This window comes from Homo sapiens, chromosome 18 (genome assembly GCF_000001405.40).
Source record: "Homo sapiens chromosome 18, GRCh38.p14 Primary Assembly".
Taxonomy (NCBI): domain Eukaryota; kingdom Metazoa; phylum Chordata; class Mammalia; order Primates; family Hominidae; genus Homo; species Homo sapiens.
Window position 1 is genome coordinate 21,563,897 of NC_000018.10, and position 23,287 is coordinate 21,587,183.

At 40.4% G+C, this 23,287-nt stretch overlaps 1 protein-coding gene across 5 annotated transcripts in view; it reads right to left on the reverse strand.

The window, feature by feature from the left end:
- Positions 1-23,287, reverse strand: part of ESCO1 (establishment of sister chromatid cohesion N-acetyltransferase 1) — a 71,421-nt gene that overhangs the window by 34,613 nt on the left and 13,521 nt on the right. For all 5 annotated transcript variants that reach the window (XM_011525799.4, NM_052911.3, XM_047437285.1 and 2 more), the window contains exons 2-7: positions 20,414-20,544; positions 11,776-11,881; positions 9,418-11,534; positions 4,084-4,198; positions 2,250-2,310; positions 307-421 (exon numbers count right to left, since the gene is read on the reverse strand). In XM_011525799.4, coding sequence (XP_011524101.1) covers positions 307-421; positions 2,250-2,310; positions 4,084-4,198; positions 9,418-10,947 — 1,821 coding nt within the window. In that variant the 5' untranslated portion in view covers positions 10,948-11,534; positions 11,776-11,881; positions 20,414-20,544. The remainder of the gene's footprint in view (positions 1-306; positions 422-2,249; positions 2,311-4,083; positions 4,199-9,417; positions 11,535-11,775; positions 11,882-20,413; positions 20,545-23,287) is intronic.

Below are 23,287 nucleotides of genomic sequence, written 5' to 3' on the forward strand. Positions count from 1 at the left end.
CTCCTGCTGGGGTGAGCAGGGTTAAAAAAAAAAAAAAAGAGTCTGGCTTCCTTGGTTTCTCTCTCTTGCTTCCTCCCTTACCACGTGGTCTCTCTGCACATGAGCTCACTCCCTTTCTGCTTTCCTCCATAAGTTGAAGCAATCTGCCACCCTCACCAGATGCAGATGTCAGGCCATAGAACCACAAGCCAAATAAACCTCTTTTCTATAAAAATTACCAACCTCAGATATCGTATTATAGCAACATGAAATATACTAAGATGGTTCTAACAACAATTCACCAAAATGGTCAAGTTGTGTACTTACTATAATCAACTGTTTTTCATCAGTTTTCTCTGCTTCTTTTAGTTTCAAGTCCTTTGGAATTGTTATCTCCAAATGGGAATTACACTTAGGCAAAGAATGATTTCGTGGTGTCTCCCTTAAAAAAAATAAAATTACTAAATGTTACAGATCCAAGTCATTTCACATCATTTGAAGGGGAAAAAATAACTTATTTTCTTTTTTTTTTTGAGACGAAGTCTCACTCTGTCGCCCAGGCTGGAGTGCAGTGGCGCAATCTTGGCTCACTGCAAACTTTGCCTCCTGGGTTCATGCCATTCTCCTGCCTCAGCCTCCTGAGTAGCTGGGACTACAGGTGCCAGCCACCACGCCCAGCTAATTTTTTTTTTTTGTATTTTTAGTAGAGACGGGGTTTCACCATGTTAGCCAGGATGGTCTCGATCTCCTGACCTCGTGATCCGCCTGCCTCAGCCTCCCAAAGTGCTGGGATTACAGGCGTGAGCCACCGCGCCCGGCAAAAATAACTTATTTTCTACACAACGCTGATAAATTTCAGCTTCAAGAGAGGGAGAAAAACCTTTTAAAAATCAAGGAGCAGGCCTGGCATGGTGGCTCATGCCTATAAAATCCCAGCACTTTGAGAGGCCAAGGCAGGCAGATTGCCTGAGCTCAGGAGATCGCGACCAGCCTGGGCAACACGGTGAAACCCCGTTTCTACTAAAATAAAAATAAATAAATAAAATAAAAATTAGCCAGGTGTGGCAGCGTGTGCCTGTAGTCCTAGCTACTCAGGAGGCTGAGGCAGGAGAATTGCTTGAACCTGGGAGGCGGAGGTTGCGGTGAGCCGAAATCACGCCACTGCACTCCAGCCTGGCGACAGAGCGAGACTCCGTCTCAAAAAATAATAATAATAAAAATAAAGGGGGAAAGAAAATTACTAATTTTCAGTAAAAAAACAAAAACTAATTTTCAGTAAAAAAACAAAAACTAATTTTCAGTAAAAAAAAGGCAACACTTACCACAGTTTGAATATGCTTTTAAGTTTTATAGTTTTAGCTATCTAAGTCATTCCAATTTGTACTAAATACTGTTTGTTGTTAATCCAAAAGGCAAAATAAGTCAGATCTATTTAATTCTGACATTAAAAAGAAAACAAAAAGCTTTTAATCTTACTTAAACACTCTTACATGTTGCTAATACCTAGTATTTCTAGAAGTCTAGGGAAAAGGGCATTCTCAAACACTATTGAGACAGGCCAACCACTTTGGAGGAAAGTCTGACAATGCGGGATAAGTTCTATAGCTATGAGATACAGACACACAAGTAAGCAAAGATACATGTGTTTAACATAGGATTTGTCTTTTCTGGATAGAAATGAACCAGAAATATCCAAAATGTTCATAAAGCATAGAACTGTTAAACCACGGTAAAGTCACACAATGAAATTTAATGCAGAATTTAGAAGAATAAGGTAGCTGCCAGATACTGTGGCTCACACCTATAATCCCAGAGATTTGAGAGGCCGAGGTGGGAGAATCACTTGAGGCCAGGAGTTCGAGACCAGCCTGAGCAGCATAGCAAGACCTTCTCTCTAAAAAAAGAATTTTTTTTAATTATCCAGGTATGGTGCCACACTATAGTCCTAGCTACATGGGAGGCTGAGGCAGAAGGATCACTTGAGCCCAGGAGTTCAAGGCTGCAGTGATTGTGCCACTGCACTCCAGCCTGGGTAAGTGAGCAAGACCTCAACTCTAAAAAATAAATAAATAAAGAAATAAAGAATGAGGTAGTAGGGTAGAAAAAATGTCCATAGTAAACAGTATGTATAGGCATAGAAAAAGCTGTAATGAAAAGAGAATCTGTAGGTAAACTGAGGGTTACTAGCATAACTTTTTAGGGAAGAATCCCCTAAACTCAAAACTTGTAAGTTAAAATCCTTAAGCTCTAAAATTTAATTAATAGCTTACCTGTTATCACTGCTTTTAGATGTCTGGTTACTGAGAATACTATGCTGTTGGGGAGCTGAACCTGTAATTTAATCAAGAAGGTGGGTTATATATTGAGTTTTATACTAGTTTTCCATCTAATGGATAAAATCATTATACATAAAGAAAAAAACCTTCAATGCATTAAATGACTTATTTTTAATAAAGACCATCTGATAAAATTAGAACCTTCTTCCTAGATACCATTCTTCAGACAAAAGGCAGAAAGGCTGTCTCATACTCAGACTACAAAGCTGCAAAGAGCTGTAATGGTAGATTAGCTTGCCTCTAATTTAACCAGCAATTATTAGGACTGAATAATAAGGAAATTGTTTCAATGCCTGCATAATTATATAATCTCTAAGTAGAAACAAATGAAAACATTTTCTTGTTTAAAAAAATAAAAATAAAAGACGCCGGGCATGGTGGCCTCACATCTGTAATCCCAGCACTTTGGGAGGGCAAGGCAGGCGGATCACCTGAGGTCAGGAGTTCGAGACCAGCCTGGCCAACATAGGGAAACCCTGTCTCTACTAAAAATACAAAATAAGCCGGGTGTGGTGATGTGTGCCTGTAATCCCAGCTGCCCAGGAGGCTGAGGCAGGAGAACTGCTCGAACCTGGGAGGCAGAGGTGGCAGTGAGCTGAGATCGCGCCACTGCACCCCAGCCTGGAGGACAGAGCAAGGCTCTGCCTCAAAAAAAAAAAAAAAATGGTCTCTGGAATTTTAGTCAGAATAATAAAGGCAATAAGCAATTCATTTTATTTTCTAATGAATAAATGCATTTCTCATATTTATATTACATTCTCTCTTCCCCAACTCAGAGAAAAAGTTAAATCATGTCAATGATTATCCGAACTCAACATTTTGCTCCATGTATACCTTTCCTTTAGCAGAGAAACAACAGGAATTAAGAGATTTCTTTTCTATACCCTCTGCTGTCTCATCCAATATAAGTGACCAAATCCTCATCCAACAGTTCAAATAATTTTTTTTTCTTTTGGTTTTTTGGTTTTTGAGACAGATTCTCACTCTGTCACCCAGGGTGGAATGCAGTGGTGCAATCTTGGCTCATCTCTGCCTCCCAGGTTCAAGCAATTCTCCTGACTCTGCCTCTCAAGTAGCTGAGATTACAGGCGTGCACCACCATGCCTTGCTAATTTTTTTAGTATTTTTAGTAAATAGAAACGGAGGTCTCACCACATTGGCCAGGCTGGTCTCGAACTCCAGGCCTTAAGTGATCTGTCTGCCTAGGCATTCCAAAGTGCTGCGATTACAGGCTTGAGCCACCACGACCGGCCCAAATAATGTGTTATTAAAAAAAAAAAAGTTCACAAGGTTCCAAAACTAAAGCTTTTGGACAATTTGCAAAGTGGACAATTTGCAGCATTTATTAAATCCTTAATTTAGAGATAGGATCATTCAGATGGAAAACTGAGTAAATAAGGGTTAAAGATAAGAACCTGAAATGGTAAAGCACAAATAATAAAGTACTTAAGAAATAAGCTGCTACCACTATTTTATGCAATTCATTAAGAACACTTCTCAAGAAAGTAAGTCACAAATAAAAGTTGTTTAAAAAACAAAAGAACTTTTGGTAGGGAGTCAAAGGGTAGTACTTAGGTACTTTAAACAAACCAATCAACAGAAGTAATTCTGAAAGCATGGGTGATAGTCATGATAATCACATATTTGAAAAATACAGCAATGGTTAAAAAGAATTTAACAACCCTATTTGGTATATAACATTTTCTGTAATACTGACAAAAATGTCACTGAAGACTATGAAATCCAAATAATATTTCCAAAGTATTACCTGGAAATTTATTCTCTCCTGTATCAATTTTTGCTTGACTGAGCAGAGTCGAAGCAGCAGTAACATTTTCCACTGGACTGTTTTCTAGCTTGGATTCCAAACATTGGCTGAAATTCTGAACACATATAATTCAAAATTTTTACATCAACTTTGGGTTTTATCTAAATAAACTTTCAGTAAATTTTAGCATACTAAAAAAATTTAACATACTTTTTATTTGGAGCAATTAATACAGACATGAAGTCTCCCCATGATCTTGCTACAAGCTACCCTCTCACCATCAGGGCCCATTATTACCCTTCATGCTAAATTTAAAAACAAGCAGGGTACAGCAGTGCATGCCTGTTGTCTCAGCTACTCAGAAGCCTCACTAAAAGGGGAGGATCACTTAAGCCCAGGGGTTTGAAGCCAGCCTGGACAACATAGTGACACCCTATCTCAAAAAAAAGGAAATATCTCTTCCACAGATATATTCAATAGTTTCCTGGCTCTATACCTTTTTTCCAAGTTTCGTCTGTCTAGACTATAATGTCCAATATGGTCATCACTCCCACATCTAACTAGTGAGTGCACTTAAAATGTGGTATCACTTGAAATGTGTTGAAAGCATAAATCACACCAGATTTTGAACTTAAGCACCCAGCCGGGCACAGTGGCTAATGCCTGTAATCCCAGCACTTTGGGAGGCCGAGACGGGCGGATCACTTGAGGTCAGGAGTTCAAGACCAGCCTGACCAACACAGTGAAACCTCGTCTCTACTAAAAATACAAAAATTAGCTGGGCGTGATGGCAAGCACCTGTAATCCCAGCTACTCGGGAGGCTGAGGCAGGAGAATCACTTAAACCTGGGAGGCGGAGGTTGCAGTGAGCCAGGATAGTGCCACTGCACTCCAGCCTAGGTGACAAAGCTAGACTCCATCTCAAAAAAAAAAAAAAAGACAGGTTAAATAAAAGATATTAAAATTAATTTTATCTATTTCTCTTTACTCCATTAATGTGGCTACCAGGTAATTTTAAATCACATATGTGGCTCACTTATATTCCTACTGGATAGTGCTGATCCAGAATACCTTTCCCCCTATATAAATTCCACTCATTGCTCCTCTTCCATAAAGCCTTTCCCAATCTTCTCTAGCTGTTCTTCATCTACTTTGTCTAAATCTCTTTCGTGTGCTTATCACTTTTTATTTTCAATCAGTTATTTGTGTCTGACTTACCTATAAAGCTTAAAAGCAACAACCATATTATATTTACCTTTTTATTCCTAATAGCCTCTAATTCAGAACCTTGCCAAAGCAGATACTCAATTAGTAAATAACAAAAGAAAATACTTCAGGCGGGGCGTGGTGGCTCACGCCTGTAATCCCAGAACTTTTGGGAGGCTGAGGCGGGTGGATCATGAGGTCAAGGGATCAAGACCATCCTGGCCAACACAGTGAAACCCTGTCTCTACCAAAAATACAAAAAAATTAGCTGGGCGTGAGGCCGGGCATGGTGGCTCACGCCTGTAATCCCAGCACTTTGGGAGGCCCAAGCAGGCCGATCACCTGAGGTCAGGAGTTCCAGGCCAGCCTCACCAAGATGGTGAAACCCCGTCTCTACTAAAAAACAAAAATTAGCTGGGTGTGGTGGCAGGCACCTGTAATCCCAGCTACTTGGGAGGCAGAGGCAAGAGAATCACTTGAACCCAAGAGGCAGAGGTTGCAGTGATCGAGATCATGCCATTGCACTTAGCTGGGTGTGGTGGCGGTCCCAGTTACTCACGAGGCTAAGGCAGGAGAAATCACTTGAACCCGGGAGGCGGAGGTTGCAGTGAGCCAAGATCACACCACTGCACTCCAGCCTGGCGACAGAGCAAGACTCCGTCTCAAAAAAGAAAAAAATACTCCAAACTCCATCAACAGTGGCTATCTCAGGGAAATGGAAATGGAAACTTCTTAAGGGCAGGAAACCTATCCATGTTCTATGGTCCTAGCACAGCACAGCACCTTGAATACAGCAGGCACTCAAATATGTCCTGAACCAATATGGTCACCACCACATTTCCTGATCACTCTGTGACAGTGGTCAAAATGTTGAGATTAGTGAAAAATAATTGGAAACAATCTGAAAGGTGAAAGTCTTCTTTTTCTTTTGAGATAGAGTCTCACTCTGTCACCCAGGCTGGAATGCAGTGAAATGATCACAGCTCACTGCAGCCTCAACCTCCTGGGCTCAAGAGGTCCTCCCGCCTCAGCCTCCCAAGTAGCTGGGACCACAGGCACACATTACCACTCCTAGCTAATTTTTAAATTATTTTGTAGAGAGGGAGTCTCACTATGTTGCTCAAACTTGTCTAAAACTCCTGGGCTCAAGAGATCCTCCCACCTCAACCTCACAAAATGCTGGGATTACAGGCATGAGCCACTGTGCCTGGCCCAAGGTGAAAGTCTTTTCATAGAAGAAAAGATAAACTTGTTGTATATTCCCATAGTTTTAAAAATACTCAGGTATCAATAAGTATCAAATATAATGTTGATTACACAAAGCCAAGTTACAAAAATATATGTGCTAGTATTTTTGTAAAACACTGAAACACAAACAAAGCTAAGTATTCTTTATGAATTTATATACACATAAAATCACAGAAATAAAAACTGAAAAGATCCACATCCACTTTAGGAGCACATTTTAACTATAGGGAGATGGGTAAATGGAATAAAGAGTTGCAGTCTTCGGCCAGGCGTGGTGGCTCACACCTGTAATCCCAGCACTTTGGGAGGCCGAGTTGGGAGGATCAGGAGGTCAGGAGATCGAGACCATCCTGGCCAACGGGTGAAACCCCGTCTCTACTAAAAACACAAAAAATTAGCCGGGCGTGGTGGCAGGCGCCTGTAGTCTCAGCTACTCAGGAGGCTGAGGCAGGAGAATGGCGTGAACCCAGGAGGCGGAGCCTGCAGTGAGCCGAGATGCACCACTGCACTCCAGCCGGGGTGACAGAGTGAGACTTCATCTCAAAAAAAAAAAAAAGAGTTGCAGTCTTCATCTACACCTGTAATGTACCTTTTGTAACTTTAAAGGATTTTCAGTAATTTTTTTTAAATGTTAACTTTTGTCAAATCTGGGTGGTAGACATATGAGAGTAATGTTCATCTCTGCTATATTCTAAATGTTTGCAATATTCCAGAATTTCAAACCGTAAGATTTTTAACATAGCAACAAGTTTCTTAGGATATTTTTTTTTTGAAGACAGACTTTCACTCTGTCACCCAGGCTGGAGTACAGTGGCGTGATCTTGGCTCACTGCAGCCTCCGCCTCCCAGGTTCAAATGATTCTTCCACCTCAGCCTCCTGAGTAGCTGGGATTACAGGTGTGCACCACCACACCCAGCTAATTTCTTGTATTTTTAGAAGAGATGGGGTTTCACCATGCTGTCCAAGCTGGTCTCGAACTCCTGACCTCAGGTGATCCAACTGCCTCAGCCTCCCAAAAGTCCTGGGATTAAAGGCATGAGCCACCACGCCTGGCAGGATGGTTTCTTATAATGTTCCTCCAAACAGAGGGGCTGCATAAATTCAAAGTATCTTTCAGTAAAAGCAATGTTATCAAAGGTCAAAATAATGTGGTCTACATAAACATCTTCATTCAAGTACAGTTTAGTACAAAGGAATGAATTAGATTTCATATCCATCAATATACTCTCCATAAACTGCCTTCTGAGTTTTGACAGGCATTTATGCAGCAAGCAATTAGAAGACACACTCTCCAACTACATCTGGAGACACAATCCTGAATAAAAAGCCACTACATCTCTGCACAAAGCCACAACTTATTACTCATACTACAACTCACTACTTATTTCTAATTACTATCACTGACTGGTAAAATCTCTCTGAACAATCATCTTTTAATTGATGCTTGCATTCCTGTCTATATAGAAAATAAAATCTGAGAGTACAATATGGTGTCTTCTCCCTTTAAGAAAAATAATAGACACTGATCTATTTTCATGGCTTCTGGAATAAAGCCCAGACTCCTAATGCACTCACATTTGCTCCTAGACAAAATGTCTCAAAAGAGAACTTTAAATCACTTGCAAAACTTTGAAATGACTTGACTTTTTTCTCTATTCATGATTACTTTTTTTGCTCAAATGATTTCTAATGTTCAGAGTATGTTGTTTTAGAAAGAATGCTGGGCTAAGAATTAGAACACCTGGATTCTAATTCTATTTGTGCCACCAAACGTGTTGCCTAAATCACATTCCACTCCAAGTTTTCTTATTATAAAATTAAACAGTACAAATAAATCAGTTTGATCTATGTTAGAGTTCCAGGGTTCTATGCATATAAAATTTCTGCTTATTGGTTTTATATATTAGTAGTCTACATATAATTTACTTTAGAAAGAAAAGGGCTCAGCTGCTTTCATAAAATTTAAAACTACTTTCTTAGGTAATCAAAATTTATTCCAGATACAAGATTCTGGTTTTCAGTTTACTTTTCCATTTCAGAGTCTTGGCCACTACAATTTTATTCTTAGGCTGAAGACTGAATTATTTATACCTCTCAGACAGACATTCTACTTGCCAACTATTCAAAATGGCCACAAAGGTCATCTCCTTAAAAATGTTTAACTTTTAAATTATATCCAGTAGGAAAAAAGGCTGATTAGTCCTAGTTGAAATTAATTTTAATATTTAGGTCAAAAGTAGTCCCTAAAGGCCAGGTGCAGTGGCTCACGCCTGTAATCCCAGCACTTTGGGAGGCCGAGGTGGATGGATTACCTGAGGTCGGGAGTTCGAGACCAGCCTGATCAACATGGAGAAACCCCGTCTCTACTAAAAATACAAAATCAGCCAGGCATGGTGATGCATGCCTGTAATCCCAGCTACTCGGGAGGCTGAGGCTAGAGAATGGCTTGAACCTGGGAGGCGGAGGATGCAGTGAGCTGAGATTGTGCCATTGCATGCCAGCTTGGGGAACAAGGGCGAAACTCCATCTCAAAAAAAAAAAAAGTAGTCCCTAAGAAACGTACTTTCTATGGTTATAATTAACAGAAAATCAGTGTGTTAAATTTAAAAGAAAAGCTGGAATTCAACCGGCTTATGCTTACATAAAATAAAAATGAAGAGTAAAAATGAGGAAACAATGAGAAGCACCCCAAGTAAATGTGAGACATCTGAAGTTCTATCACAAGACTGGGTTAATAAAACTCTCGCTAACAACTTAACAGGAGAACTTAAACAACTCTTCAATCTTTTATGACTTCATTCTTATGCTAAAATGTTATAAAGACATTTCTTACAGAAAATATTTCGGCACCTCTATTGTGCATAATAAAAACAGATTACCTTATTTGATGCTGAATCAAAAGAATGTTTCATCTGATTATCCAATGGTGGGTCAGAAGGTTTTATCTCATTGGCCAAATGACAATTTTCAGGAGCCCTTTCTGTGGTTTTATTAATTTCTACTGTAATATCATTAATTTTCACTTCTTCAGAATTAATTTCTTTCATTTTTTCCTGCTGGCAAGTTATATTTCTATCATGTAGCTTTGTCCCTAAAAACGTACTTTGAGTCACTGGATGATGCATTTCTAAAGCTGGTGGTGAAAAACTGGTTCGTAATAAGCCTAATTTAGGGGAAACTTGAGAGTCCAACTTATTGTGCTGCACAGAGTTAAATTTTGAGAGTTTAATTTTAGTCCAGTTGGAGTTCTTCTTGGCTGAGCTGTTTATTCCATTTAGTATACATTTCACAGGCTTTGTTTTTCTACTTGGGAAAAAACGATTACATTGCACATCCTGATTTGTTTCCTTCTGATGAAGTATTTGTCTTTCAACACTGGTCTCTTCCAATTTTATTTCTGTGGGCTTTTCTTCCTTTACACTTTCCATTTGTGAAGATTCCTTTTTTACCTCTACATTATCTGACTCAATTTCACCAGCAATTTCTTCACAGAGCTGGAGAATACTACCTCGTTTGCTCTTTCCTGCTTGCTCCAGCTCATTATCACTTTGTTCAGGCACTGATGGCTGTGGACTTTTTGGGAGTGTTGTGTTAGTATTCACTTGTGTATGAACCGACTTCTTCATCTCATTCTTTTTCGGGACCACTGAAGTAGCCATTTTTGATCTTTTCACCTCAGAAGTTACAGGCACAGGTTTCGTTTCGTCTCTTCTAGTAGTCTTCTGAGGACACTTTTCAGATCCTTGCGTGCATTGAGAACTACAAGCACAAGCTGTCTGATGTTCTACCTTGCGTTTTTTCCCTTTGGGAGAATTTATTACTTCATTAATTACTAGATTTTCATCTTCTTTAGAGTCAGACTTTACTTCCAGTACTTTTCTCTTCACATGTTTTTGACTTGTTTTATTAGATTTACTCTGAGTACTGCTACACTGCTCTTTTTTAGTTGGTGGCAAACTCTGTTTAACTGCTTGAACTTGACCCTGAATTTCTCTACTGCGTAACGACCTTCTTGAAACCTCTGTTAATTGTTGTAGCCTTTGTGATCTCCGGTTAAGCTGTTCATTTGCTTTAGGGTTTTCATGTACTAATTTTTTCTGAGATAATTTCTTTTTTGTAGATTCTTGTGAATATCCCCTCACAGTCACCGTATTTTTATTAATGGATTTAGTAGCTTTATCATTAGATGCTGCCTTTGATGACCTTGTACTCATGCGTGTTTCCAATTCTGGCTGATTTATTTTACTTTCACTGGAAGATTTAGCCTGTGATTTTATAGTCTCCTTTGGACCTGATTTTTTTGCTAGATTCTTTTGAGAATCCTGAATTTCTGTTTCTGAATTCTTATCGTCACTTTTTTTAGTAACTTTGGAGGAATTCTCTTTTGATTTCTCCTGAATGGACATCATTCCTGAGTAATGACTTTCTTTTCTGAGTAGTTTTGAAGAGGATTTTTGTGTCCTGGTAGGCGTGAATGCTGACTAGCTAGTATTATTACTGAGGAGCAGGTCTGAAAAATCAACTTTAACTGATGCTGATATACATTTTCAACAAAAATACTAGTTTGCTTCAAGTAAGGTTTCTGTCATTCCTAGAACATGAGAAAAGCTGGCATGAATGCTAAAAGACACTTGCTTTACTTTGGACAAGGTAATAAAAATTTGAGGAAAATTTTGATTATTTTTAATAAGTTTTTTTATCAAAAGAAATTTAATTCAGGTTCAATCTGTTTTGTTAATTTTTTAATTAATTTTGGTTTCAGGCCTAGCTCTATTACTGGAGGAGTTATTTATCAGTGACCTGTTTTGATAAAATTTTTGAAAACTTTTTTCTTCTGAAGTCTACAGTTATTGGACTTCGATTCACTTGAAACATGTCTTATGGCTAACACGTTTCTTTCCTTGTTTGCTGAGTCTGTTGGTTTGCAGTTCTTATCTAACCTCCTTTGTTCAACAAAATATTCTATTAATATAGATTTCCTTTTGTGCTGCCGTTTCTGAAAAATTAAAAAACAAAAATAAAGTTTTGTACAATCCATGAAATATGTCAATGCTAATACTACACAGAAATAACCTTGATTTAAGGAAAATCTAACTCCTCCTTTTGAAGTATCTAATCAGTACACTTAAGGCTAACAGAACGAAGTATCCCAAGTATATTCCTATGAATAATCAATAACTTGTCTTACATAAGCATAGAATAGTTGAAAATCAGTGTATTCCTTGAGGTTTACTTACAGTTTTTGCCCCAAAATATAGACTCGATGTCTCAGCCACCATAACTCATGAAGAAAATTAGACAAAACCATTCCTTCTAATATGCTCTTAACACATCACACAGCACCTGAAAGAAAAAGGGTTTTTTTTAATGTTCAAAAGGACAAAGGAAAGATGTAATCATCCATTCGGCTCTCATCAAATATAACGCTCCATAATTTCATCCTGTCCTACCATTAGTCATTATTTCCTCAAAGCTCATATTACACGTACAGTATTTTAGTATTTCTAATTTGCACTCAACTATATGCAGCCAATGGACTAGTAGGCATTCATTCATGTTGTGAAAAAAAGTTTTAAAATATGAAAAACAATTCATAATATAAGCATAAAATTGGTTAAACCAATAAAGTAAAATCCTATTTTGGGGAAAAAACAAAGCACATAGATAACTATATACATAGAAAAAGACTGAAATACAGTTAAAGAAGGAAGATTTAAGCAAACACATTTACCTCTATTCCGATTCAAACCCTACTGGAAAAAAAAAGCAATAGAGGGACTAAAACAAAACAAGACCCAGTTGTGGTGGCTCACACCTGTAATTCTAGAAACTCCAGAGGCTGAGGCAGAAGGTTAAAGCCAAGAGTTTGTGACCAGCCTGGAGAATATAGCAAGATTCTGTCTCTACAAAAATTAAAAATTAGCCAGGCATTGTGGCATGCACCCACAGTCCAGGTTACTTGGGAGACTGAGACAGGAGGATTGTTTGAGCCTAGGAGTTGAAGGTTGCAGTAAGCTATAATCATGCCAGTACACTCCAACCTGGACAAAAGAGTGAGACCCATATCTAAAAATAAGTAAGTAAATAAAAAACCAAGACAATGCCATAAACCCAAAGGATAAAGAACAAGACAGTAGAAGATAAAAATTTAGAAGTACAGATGCTACAGAGAAGGACAAATAATTGACTTAGTAGGCTCAAGAAAATCTGAATCTTCAGGTAGAAATGTGGAAAGCTGAGAAGATCTATTTATACCCGAGACTCAGGAATTGGCAGTATCAGACTCCATAGAGATGCGGATGAAAATAGGACTCAAAAGGCCGGGTGCGGTGGCTCACACCTGTAATCCCAGCACTTTGGGAGGCCAAAGCAGGTGGATCACGAAGTCAGGAGTTCAAGACCAGCCTGGCCAAGATGATGAAACCCCGTCTCTACTAAAAACACAAAAATTAACCAGGCGTGGTGGCAGGCGCCTGTAATCCCAGCTACTCGGGAGGCTGAAGCAGGAGAATCGCTTGAACTCAGGAGGTGGAGGTTGCAGTGAGCTGAGATTGTGCCACTGCACTCCAGCCTAGGCGACAGAGCGAGACTCTTGTCTCAAAAAAAAAAAAGAAAATGGGACTCAAAAAAGCAGATAGGGCCGGGCACAATGGCTCAGGCCTGTAATCCCAACACTTTGGGAGGTCGAGGCAGGCGAATCACTTGTGGCCAGGAGCTCAAGACTAGCCTGGCCAACATGGTGAAACCCTATCTCTACTAAAAATACAAAAAAATTAGCTGGGCATGGTGGTGCATGCCTGTAATCCCAGCTGCTCAGGAGGCTGAGGCAGGAGAATCACTTGAACCTGGGAGGCGGAGGTTGCAGTGAACTGAGATCATGCCATTGCACTCCACCCTGGGCAACAAGAGTGAGACTCCATCTTTTTTAAAAAAAAAAAAAAAAAAAAAAAAGGCTGGGCTCACACCTGTAATCCCAGCACTTTGGGAGGCCGAGGCGGGCAGATTCACGAGGTCAGGAGGTCGAGACCATCCTGGCTAACATGGTGAAACCCCGTCTCTACTAAAAATACAAAAAATTAGCTGGGTGTGGTGGCAGGTGCCTGTAGTACCAGCTACTGGGGAGGCTGAGGCAGGAGAATTGCTTGAATCCAGGAGGCGGAGCTTGCAGTGAGCCAAGATTGCACCACTGCACTCTAGCCTGGCCGACAGAGCGAGACTCCGTCTCAAAAAAAAAAAAAAAAAAAGCAGATATTCTCCCAGATTGCCATTCCCATTACTAGCACTCAGAAGACTAGAGGTATAAATCTCTAGAAGGAGTGAAACAGGAGGTCTACAGGCTTAACAGGCACAGTTGAGGATGGAAGTATCATACTGACAACAGAAGGAATAAATAGGAATATACACACTGATTGCTGAAACCCACTCTGTTCATTCAAAACCCTCTTTGCCTACTCAAAGGTTCCTAGAGGATAGCAGCCAAGCCTATACCTTCTACTAAGGAAGTGGAAAGATTGTGTTCTACTGATCGTTCTGAAGATGAGTACTACTGAATTTGGCAAGCCCTAGAGAAAATACCTAAAAATACTGATAAGGTCTACCTATAATCGCTAAGACACACACACAAACACACACCCTATAATCGGGAGTCTACCAGCCACTCCACCATCCAAATACATACAATTTCCAATCACTTTTAACCATAAGCAGTTAAACAAGAATCACCACAAATACAAGAAAAGCCTTAATATGAAGAAAAAACAGGAAAAAAGTAGCTTTGAAGACAAAATTAGAGACAAAAACTAAAAATAAGCTAATTTGTCATGAAACAGATATACAAGAACAGCATACAAAAAAGAACTCCTGAAAATTAAAAACACTACAGAAAAAAGTGAAAAAGTCAACAGATGCCATCAGAAGGTAAAGACAAGGAGCTCTCCTATAAAGTAGATCAAAATGACTAAGATGGCACATGGGAGAAAAAAAAGTAAGAAAATTAGAGGACGAGCCATGAGGTCCAACTGGCCATTAACTGGACCTTTCAGAGAATAGAAAAAAAGCACTGGGGGAAAAAAAATCAAGAATTCAAGAAATTTTCCTAGACCTGAATGACATGAGTTTCCTGATTAAAAGGGCCAAGACTGCCAGGTACAGTGGCATGTCTATAATCCCAGCTACTCTGGGAAGCTGAGGCAGGAGGATCACTTGAAGCCAAGAGTTCCAGACCAGACTGAGTAACAGAGCAAGATCTACCACGAAAAAAAAGAAAAAAAAAATTTTTTTTGAGACAAAGTCTCGCTTTGTTGTCCAGGCTAGAATGCAGTGGCACAATTTCAGCTCACTGCAACCTCCACCTCCCAAGTTCAAGCGATTCTCGTGCCTTAGCCTCCCAAGTAGCTGGAACTACAGGCATGCACCACCACGCCTGGCTATTTTTTTCTTCCCCCAAGATGTAGTCTCACTCTGTTGCCCAGGCTGGAGTGCAGTGGCACCATCTCGGCTCACTGCAACCTCCACCTCCTGGGTTCAAGTGATTCTCCTCCCTCAACCTCCTGAGTAGCTGGGATTACAGGCACGCACCACTACACCGGCTAATTTTTTTGTATTTTTAGTAGAGATCAGGTTTCACCATGTTGGCCAGGCGGGTCCCGAACTCCTGACCTCATGAACTGCCTGCCTCGGCCTCCCAAAGTGCTGCAATTACAGGCATGAGCCACTGCGCCTGGCCTTTTTTGTACTTTTAGTAGAGACAGAGTTTCACCATGTTGGCCAAGCTGGTCCCAAACTCCTGGCCTCAAGTGATCCACCCACTTTGGCCTCCCAAAGTGCTAGGATTATAGGCATGAGCCACTGCACCTGGCCAAAAAAATTTTCTAATAAGCTGAGCATGGTGGCACGCGCCTGTAGACAGGCCCAGCTACTCGGGAGGCTGAGGCAGGAGGATGACATGAGCTCAGGAGTCTGAGGCTGCAGTGAACTACGATCATACCACTGCACTCCAGACTGAGTGACAAAGCAAGACCCCATCTCTTTAAAAAACAAAAAAACAAAAAAATGGGGCCAGGCACAGTGGCTCACGCCTGTAATCCCAGCACTTTGGGAGGCCAAGGCAGGTGAATCACGAGGTCAGGAATTCAAGACCAGCCTGGCCAACATGGTGAAACCCTGTCTCTACTAAAAATACAAAAAAATTAGCTGGGCATGGAGGCAGGCACCTGTAATCCCAGCTACTCGGGAGGCTGAGGCAGGAGAATTGCTTGAACCAAGGAGGTGGAGGTTGCAGTGAGCCGACATCACGCCACTCACTGTACTCCAGCCTGGGCAACAGAGCGAGATTCTGACACACACACACACGCGCGCGCGCACACACACACACACACACACACACACACACACACACACACACACACAGCAGGGAGGGGACCTAAGAGTATCTAGAATAATGGATGAAAAAAATTATCTATTTTTAATTTTTTTTTTTTGAGATGGAGTCTCCCTCTATTGCTCAGGCTGGAGTGCAGTGGCGCAATCTTGGCTCACTGCAACCTCCGTCTCCCGGGTTCAAGCAATTCTCCTGCCTCAGCCTCCTGAGTAGCTGGGATTACAGGCACGCACCACCACACCCAGCCAATGTTTTTTGTATTTTTAGTAGAGACGGGTTTTCGGTGTATTGGTCAGGCTGGTCTCGAACTCCTGACTTTAGGTAATCCAACCGCCTCGGCTTCCCAAAGTGCTGGGATTACAGGCATGAATCACCGCGCCCAGCCCCCAAAAATTTTTTTTCAGCCTTTCTATGTTTCTGCTGGCAATGAGGAAAAAAACTTTTTAATTTTTAAAAAACCTATCATAAGGATAAAAAGATGACTCTCAAACTTCTAGAGGGGGGAAAAATCCTGACTACATACAGATGATTAAGATCAGAATTACAACAAACCTTCCATAGCAACACTGGAAGCAAGATAATGGGAAAATTATTCAAAATGCTGAAGAAAAATTATGTCCCAAGTAGAATTCAATGCCCAATTAAGTGTGGAGTCTAGAATATTTTTCAGATGTGCAGGGTGTCAAAAAATTTAACTCCCAAACATCTTCCTCTAGGGTCTACAAGAGAATGTGCACCAAAAAATAAGCATGTTAAAATGAAGAAAAGAGGAGGGAGTTTAGAAACCAAACAAAAAAATGAGACTGCACATGTGTGTGCTTACTGAAGTTTATATGAATAAATATAAGTATAAATAAGTTAGTTTAAAGGAATTTTTTAAAAAGAATTACTATTGGCCAGGCACGGTGGCTCATACCTGTAATCCCAGCAACTTGGGAGGCCAAGGCAGGCGGATCTCCTGAGGTCAGGAGTTCGAGACCAGCCTGACCAACAAGGAGGAACCCCCGTCTCTACTAAAAATACAAAATTAGCCAGGCATGGTGGTGCATGTCTGTAATCCCAGCTACTTGGGAAGCTGAGGCAGAAAAATCTCTTGAACCCAGGAGGCGGAGGTTGCGGTAAGCTGAGATCGCGCCATTGCACTCCAGCCTGGGCAACAAGAGCAAAACTCCATCGAAACGGAGTCTCATTCTGTCACTTAAAAAATAACAGGGTAGGCCGGGTGCGGAGGCTCACACCTGTAATCCCAGCACTTTGGGAGGCCGAGGCGGGCTCATCACGAGGTCAGGAGATAAGAGACCATCCTGGCTAACATGGTGAAACCCGGTATCTACTAAAAATACAAAAAAATTATCTGGGCGTGGTGGCGGGTGCCTGTAGTCCCAGCTGCTCAGGAGGCTGAGGCAGTGAGGCAGGAGAATGGCGTGAACTCAGGAGGCAGAGCTTGCAGTGAGCCGAGACTGCACCACTGCACTCCAGCCTGGGCAACACAGCGAGAATCCATCTCAAAAGAAAAAAAAAAACAGGGTAGATTTACACTAATATTAAAATACACTTAGCTGTAATATTTAACAGTTTAGTTCCAACATATGAATTTGTAGAGATTAACAGAACAAAATAGACTCTAAAATAGGCCTGAAATACAAAATTAGCTGGGCATGGTCATGGGCACCTGTAATGCCAGATACTTGTGAGGCTGAGGCAGGAGAATCGTTGGAACCCGGGAGGCAGAGGTTGCAATGAGGTGAGATGGCGCCATTGCACTCCAGCCTGGACGACAGAGCAAGACTCCATCTCAAAAAACAAATAAATAAATAAAATAAAAATAAAAATAGGCCCTAATCCATCAGGGAATTTAGTACATATAAAGGTGGTATTGATTTCATTCATTTCAAATTAATGAAAATAGATTACTCAACAATTGCTGCTAGCTGGGCACACACACCTGTAATAACAGCTACTTCAGAGATGAAGCAGGAGGATTGCTTGAGCCCAGGAGTTTGACACCAGCCTGGTCAACATAGCAAGATTCCATCTCAAAGAAAAATTTATTAATCAGAGTTTGAGACCAGACTGGGCAACACAGTGAAATCTCATCTATACTAAAAAAAAAAAAAGAAAAAAAAAATCAGCCAGGTGTGGTGCATACCTATAGTCCCAGCTATTCAGGAAGCTGAGGTGGGTGGATCACTTGAGCCTGGGAGATCAAGGCTTCAGTGAGCCGTGATTATGCCACTACACACCAGCCTGGGCGACAGAGACCCCATCTCCAATAAATTAATTAGTTAATTAATTGGTGTTAGAAAAACTGGGTAACCATCTAGGTAACCTATTCTAGTTTATGAGTAAGAAAATGTTCAAGAAAAATGTTAATCATTAAAATAAAAACATTAAAACACAGATTAAAGTATGGGAAATCTTTTTTTTTTTTTTGAGATGGAGTTTCGCTCCTGTTGTCCAAGCTGGAGTGCAATGGTGCAATCTTGGCTCACTGCATCCTCCGCCTCCTGGGTTCAAGCGAGTCTCCCGCCTCAGCCTCCCGAGTAGCTAGGATTACAGGTGCACACCACCATGCACAGGTAATTTTTTGTATTTTTAATAGAAATGGGGTTTCACCATGTTAGCCAGGCTGGTCTTGAACTCCTGGCCTCAGGTGATATGCCCGCCTCGGCCTCTGAAAGTGCTGACATTACAGGCATTACCATGTCCAGCCAGGAAATCCTTAAATATTTGTTTTCACGTGAGAAAGGCTTAACTTTTAAGCCTTGTCACAAAATTGAGAAGCCAAGTTTGAAGGGCAAAACTGGGGAAAAATACTGGCAAGAAATAGCAAAAGCTAATAACCAAAATATATTTACAGGGAAACAACTACAAATGGCTGGTATAATAGATAACAAGATAATAATACAAATTAAAACCAACACAAAATATCATTTTTCACCTATCAAACTGGCCAAAGATCAAGAAGTTTAACAATACACTCTTGGTAAATGTTTGTGTCAGGTACCTTACATTACTACAAATGATTCAATGTCTATGCAGGACAATCCACCTATCAAAATTTTAAGTGCTAATTTTCAAACAGTTTAATTTCACGCCTGGCGTGATGGCTCACACCTGTAATCCCAGCACTTTGGGGGGGCCAAGGTGTGCGAATCACCTGAGGTCAGGAGTTCGAGACCAGGCTGGCCAACACGGCAAAACCCCGTCTCTACAAATATACAAAAATTAGCGGGCAGGCACCTGTAATCCCAGCTACTCAGGAGGCTGAGGCAGGAGAACTGCTAGAACCCAAGAGGCAGAGGTTGCAGTGAGCCGAAATCGTGCCACTGTACTCCAGCCTGGGTGACAGAGCGAGACTCTGTCTCAAAAACAAAACAAAAAAATCAACAGAAACAAACTACTAATAGTAAACAATATGGATGAACCTTGCAATCATTCTGAATAAAAAAGCTAGACACAAAAGAGTACATACTGTATGATTCCACTTTTCAAGAAATTCTGTCTTTTACAAAGGCACTAATAAAAAAAAGAAAAAAAAAATTCTAGGCCAGGCAGGGTGGCTCACACCTGTAATCCCAGCACTTTGAGGGGCCAAGGCGGGCAGATCACGTGAGGTCAGGGGCCTGACACCAGCCTGGGCAACACGGTGAAACCCCATCTCTACTAAAAATACAAAAATTAGCCAGGTGTGGTGGCATGTGCCTGTAGTCCCAGCTATTCAGGAGGCTGAGGCAGGAGAACCGCTTGAACCCAGGAGGCAGAGGTCATGGTGAGCCGAGATCATGCCACTGCACTCCAGGCTGGGCAACAGAGTGAGAGACTGTCTCAAAAAAAAAAAAAGAAAAGACATTCTAGAGAAAGCAAACTAATCTACAGTGACAAAAAGCAGCTCAGTCATTGCCTGGGATGAAGAGTGGAGAGAGGGAGATTAACTTTTGGAGGTGACAGAAATGTTCTTTATCTTGACTGTAGTGGTGATTCCATGAATATTTAAATCTGTCAAAAGCTACCAAATTGTAATTTTAAGAGAGTACAGTTTATTATACATAAATTATGCTTTAATAAAGCTGTCCAACAAATAGAGATGTAAGTTATATGGAACCATGACGAAGAAACATTATTAAACCAAAAAAGCAAAGTGCAGAAGAGAGAATGTAGCATGTCTCCCTTTGTGTAAAGAGAGAAAAAGGAGATGGTGGAAGGAAGAGAATATACAGAATCATATGCCTTTTATGCATAAAATATATCTGGAAGGAGACACTAACTAATAATAGTGATGATTTCTAAACAAGAGAACTACTAGACCAAGTACCAGGAGTAGGAGAAAAGCTTACTTTTCACTATATACCCACTGAAATGTTTTATCATGTAGACATATAACCTTGTTGAAAAATAAAAATGTAAGTTAAAATTCTCTGAAAATATAAAATATATTTGGTACACTGATTAATCATCTTGGAAGATACTAAATCATAAAATTATATGCCACTTACCTTAAAGAAATAATATATCACCTTTTTCTTCAAGTTGATTGATGAATGATGCTTCTGATGAATGATACTTCTTATCACTTCCTGTATGTTTAGTAATCTTTAAAAAAAAAAACTCTATAGCCAAAGACAATCTATTGAAAAAAAAAAATACAAAAATATCACTATTAACTGATACATTAAAACAACTTAGACAAACCTAGACTAAAAAATGGCCCAGTCAGGTGCAGTGGCTCATCCCTGTAATTGTAGCACTTTGGGAGGCAGAGGTGGAAGGATCAAGGATCAAGGATCGCTTGAGCCCAGGAGTTTGAGACCAGACTGGGCAACATGATGAAACTCTGTCTCTTCGAAAATACAAAAATTAGCCTGGGGTGCTGGCACGTCTGTAAGTCCCAGCTACTTCGGAGGCTGAGGTGGGCGTATCACCTGAGCCCAAGGAGATAGAGGCTGGCAGTGGGCTGTGATCATGCCACTGCATTCCAGCCTGGGTGACACAGTGACACCCCCATCTCAACAACAACAACAAAAAGCCTGTGATGATTTTTCACAATTATATGCAAAACATTACACAACTGCTGTAATCCCAGAACTTTGGGAGGCCGAGGCGGGTGGATAACGAGGTCAGTTCAAGACCAGCATGGCCAAGATGGTGAAGCCCCGTCTCTACTAAAAAAATACAAAAATTAGCCAGGTGTGGTGGCGGGTGCCTGTAATCCCAGCTACTCGTGAGGCTGAGGCAGAGAACTGCTTGAACCCGGGAGGCAGAGGGTGCAGTGAGCCGAGATCGAGCCACTGCATTCCAACCTAGGCTACAGAGCAGGACTCCATCTCAAAAAAAAAAAAAAAAAACTTACACAACTGCATGGTCACCATCTCAATCTTATACCATATAATACAGTTTTTCTTAAAATATAATCACTACTTCTTATCCCACCTCCATGAGAGAATTATACTTTCCTTCTGAAAAGATACCAGGCTTGGTCACATGCCTTATTTTGGCCTCGGTGGGGACAGAGTATCTATACTTCCCTGACCTGATCGTCTTGGCCACCTGACTTACTTTGGCCAACCAGATGCCAGCCTATAGTTATCAAGTTGTACCAGTATCATTTGTTAAAAAATAGTATTCTTTACCCATTGAATTGTCCTGGCCCCTTTTATAAGATCCATTGCCGTAAATGTATGGTTTTATTTCTGGACTCTCAATTCTATCCCATTGGTCTTTATGATCTTATACCAGGACTACACAATCTTGATTACTGTAGCTTTCTAGTCAGTTTTTAAAAGATGAAGTGTGAGCCCAAAACTTTGCTACTCTTTTTCTTTTTTTTAGAGACTATGTCTCTCTATGTTGCCCAGGCAAGTCTCAAACTCCTGGCCCCAAGTGATCATCCCATCTCAGCCTCCTGAGTAGCTGAGACCACAGGTACATGCCACCTTACCTGGCTAATTTTTTTATTTTTTGTAGAGATGGGGTCTCCCTGTGTTGCCCAAGCTGGTCTCAAACCCCCGGGCTCAAGCCATTCTCCCACCTCGGCCTCCCAAAATGCTAGGATTACAGGTGTTTGAGCCACTGAGCCCAGCCTAAAAGAATTTTTTTATTGATACATAATGATTACACATATTTCTGGGGTACATGTGACATTTTGATACAGACATACAACCACGTAATAATCAAATCATGATAACTGGGATAATTCATCACCTCAAACACTTATTACTTGTATCAGGAACATTTCATATCTCTTCTAGTTATTTTGAAATACGCAACAAATTATTAAATACAGTCACCCTAGTGAGCTACCAAACACTAGAACTTATTCCTTCTAACTGTATTTTTATAACCATTAATCACTTTCTCTCTATCCTCTCCTCCCCACACCCTTCTTAGCCTCTGGTAACCACTATGCTACTCTCTACCTCCATGGGATCAACTTTTTTGTGGCTCCCACATAAGAACGAGAATATGCAGTAAATCTTTCCATGCCTAGCTATTTCACTGAACATAATGTCTTCCAGTTTTATCCATGTTGCTGCAGACAAGATTTCATATTTTTATGGCTGAATAATATTCCATTCCATACCACATTTTATCCATTCATCTGCTGATGAACACTTACTTAGATTGATTCCATGTCTTGCCTATTGTGAACAGTGCCACAATGAACATGGGAATGCAGGTATCTCTTCCATATACTGATTTATTAAAGCAATTATTTTCTTAATTTCCTTTTTGGATGATTCATCACAGTGTACACAAAACTAATTTTTGTACATTGATCTTGTGTCCTGTAACGTTGTTAAATTTAATGAGTTCTAATAGGTTTTTTTGTGTGAATTTCTTAGGATTTCCTACAGGTAAGATCATGTCATCTGCAAAGAGAGAGAGTTTTACTGCTTCCTTTCCAATCTGGACGCCTTTTATTTCTTTCCCTTTTGCCAGTCTACCTTGGCTAGAACCTCCAGTGGAAACCTCCTCCTTTCCACTGTTGAAAGAAGTGGTAAGAGCAGGTATCTTCATCTTATTCCTAAGTTTAGGGGGAAAGCTCTCAGTCTTGCATACTGTTAGGTATGATGTTAGATGTGGATTTTTCACAGATGCCCTTCTATTTCTAGTTTGTTGAGCAGTTTTATCATGAAAGGATATTTCATTTTGTCAGATTTTTTTTCTGCATCTATTGAGGTAATCATGTCCGTTTCTTTCCTTTATTCTATCAACATGGTGTGTCATACTGATTTTTATATGCTGAACCAACTGTGCACTGCAGGGATAAATGCAACTTGGTCATTGTGTGTTATCATTTTTATAAGTTGCTGGACTCAGTCTGCAAATATTTAGTTGAGGATTTGTGTGGACATATTCATAAGAAATAT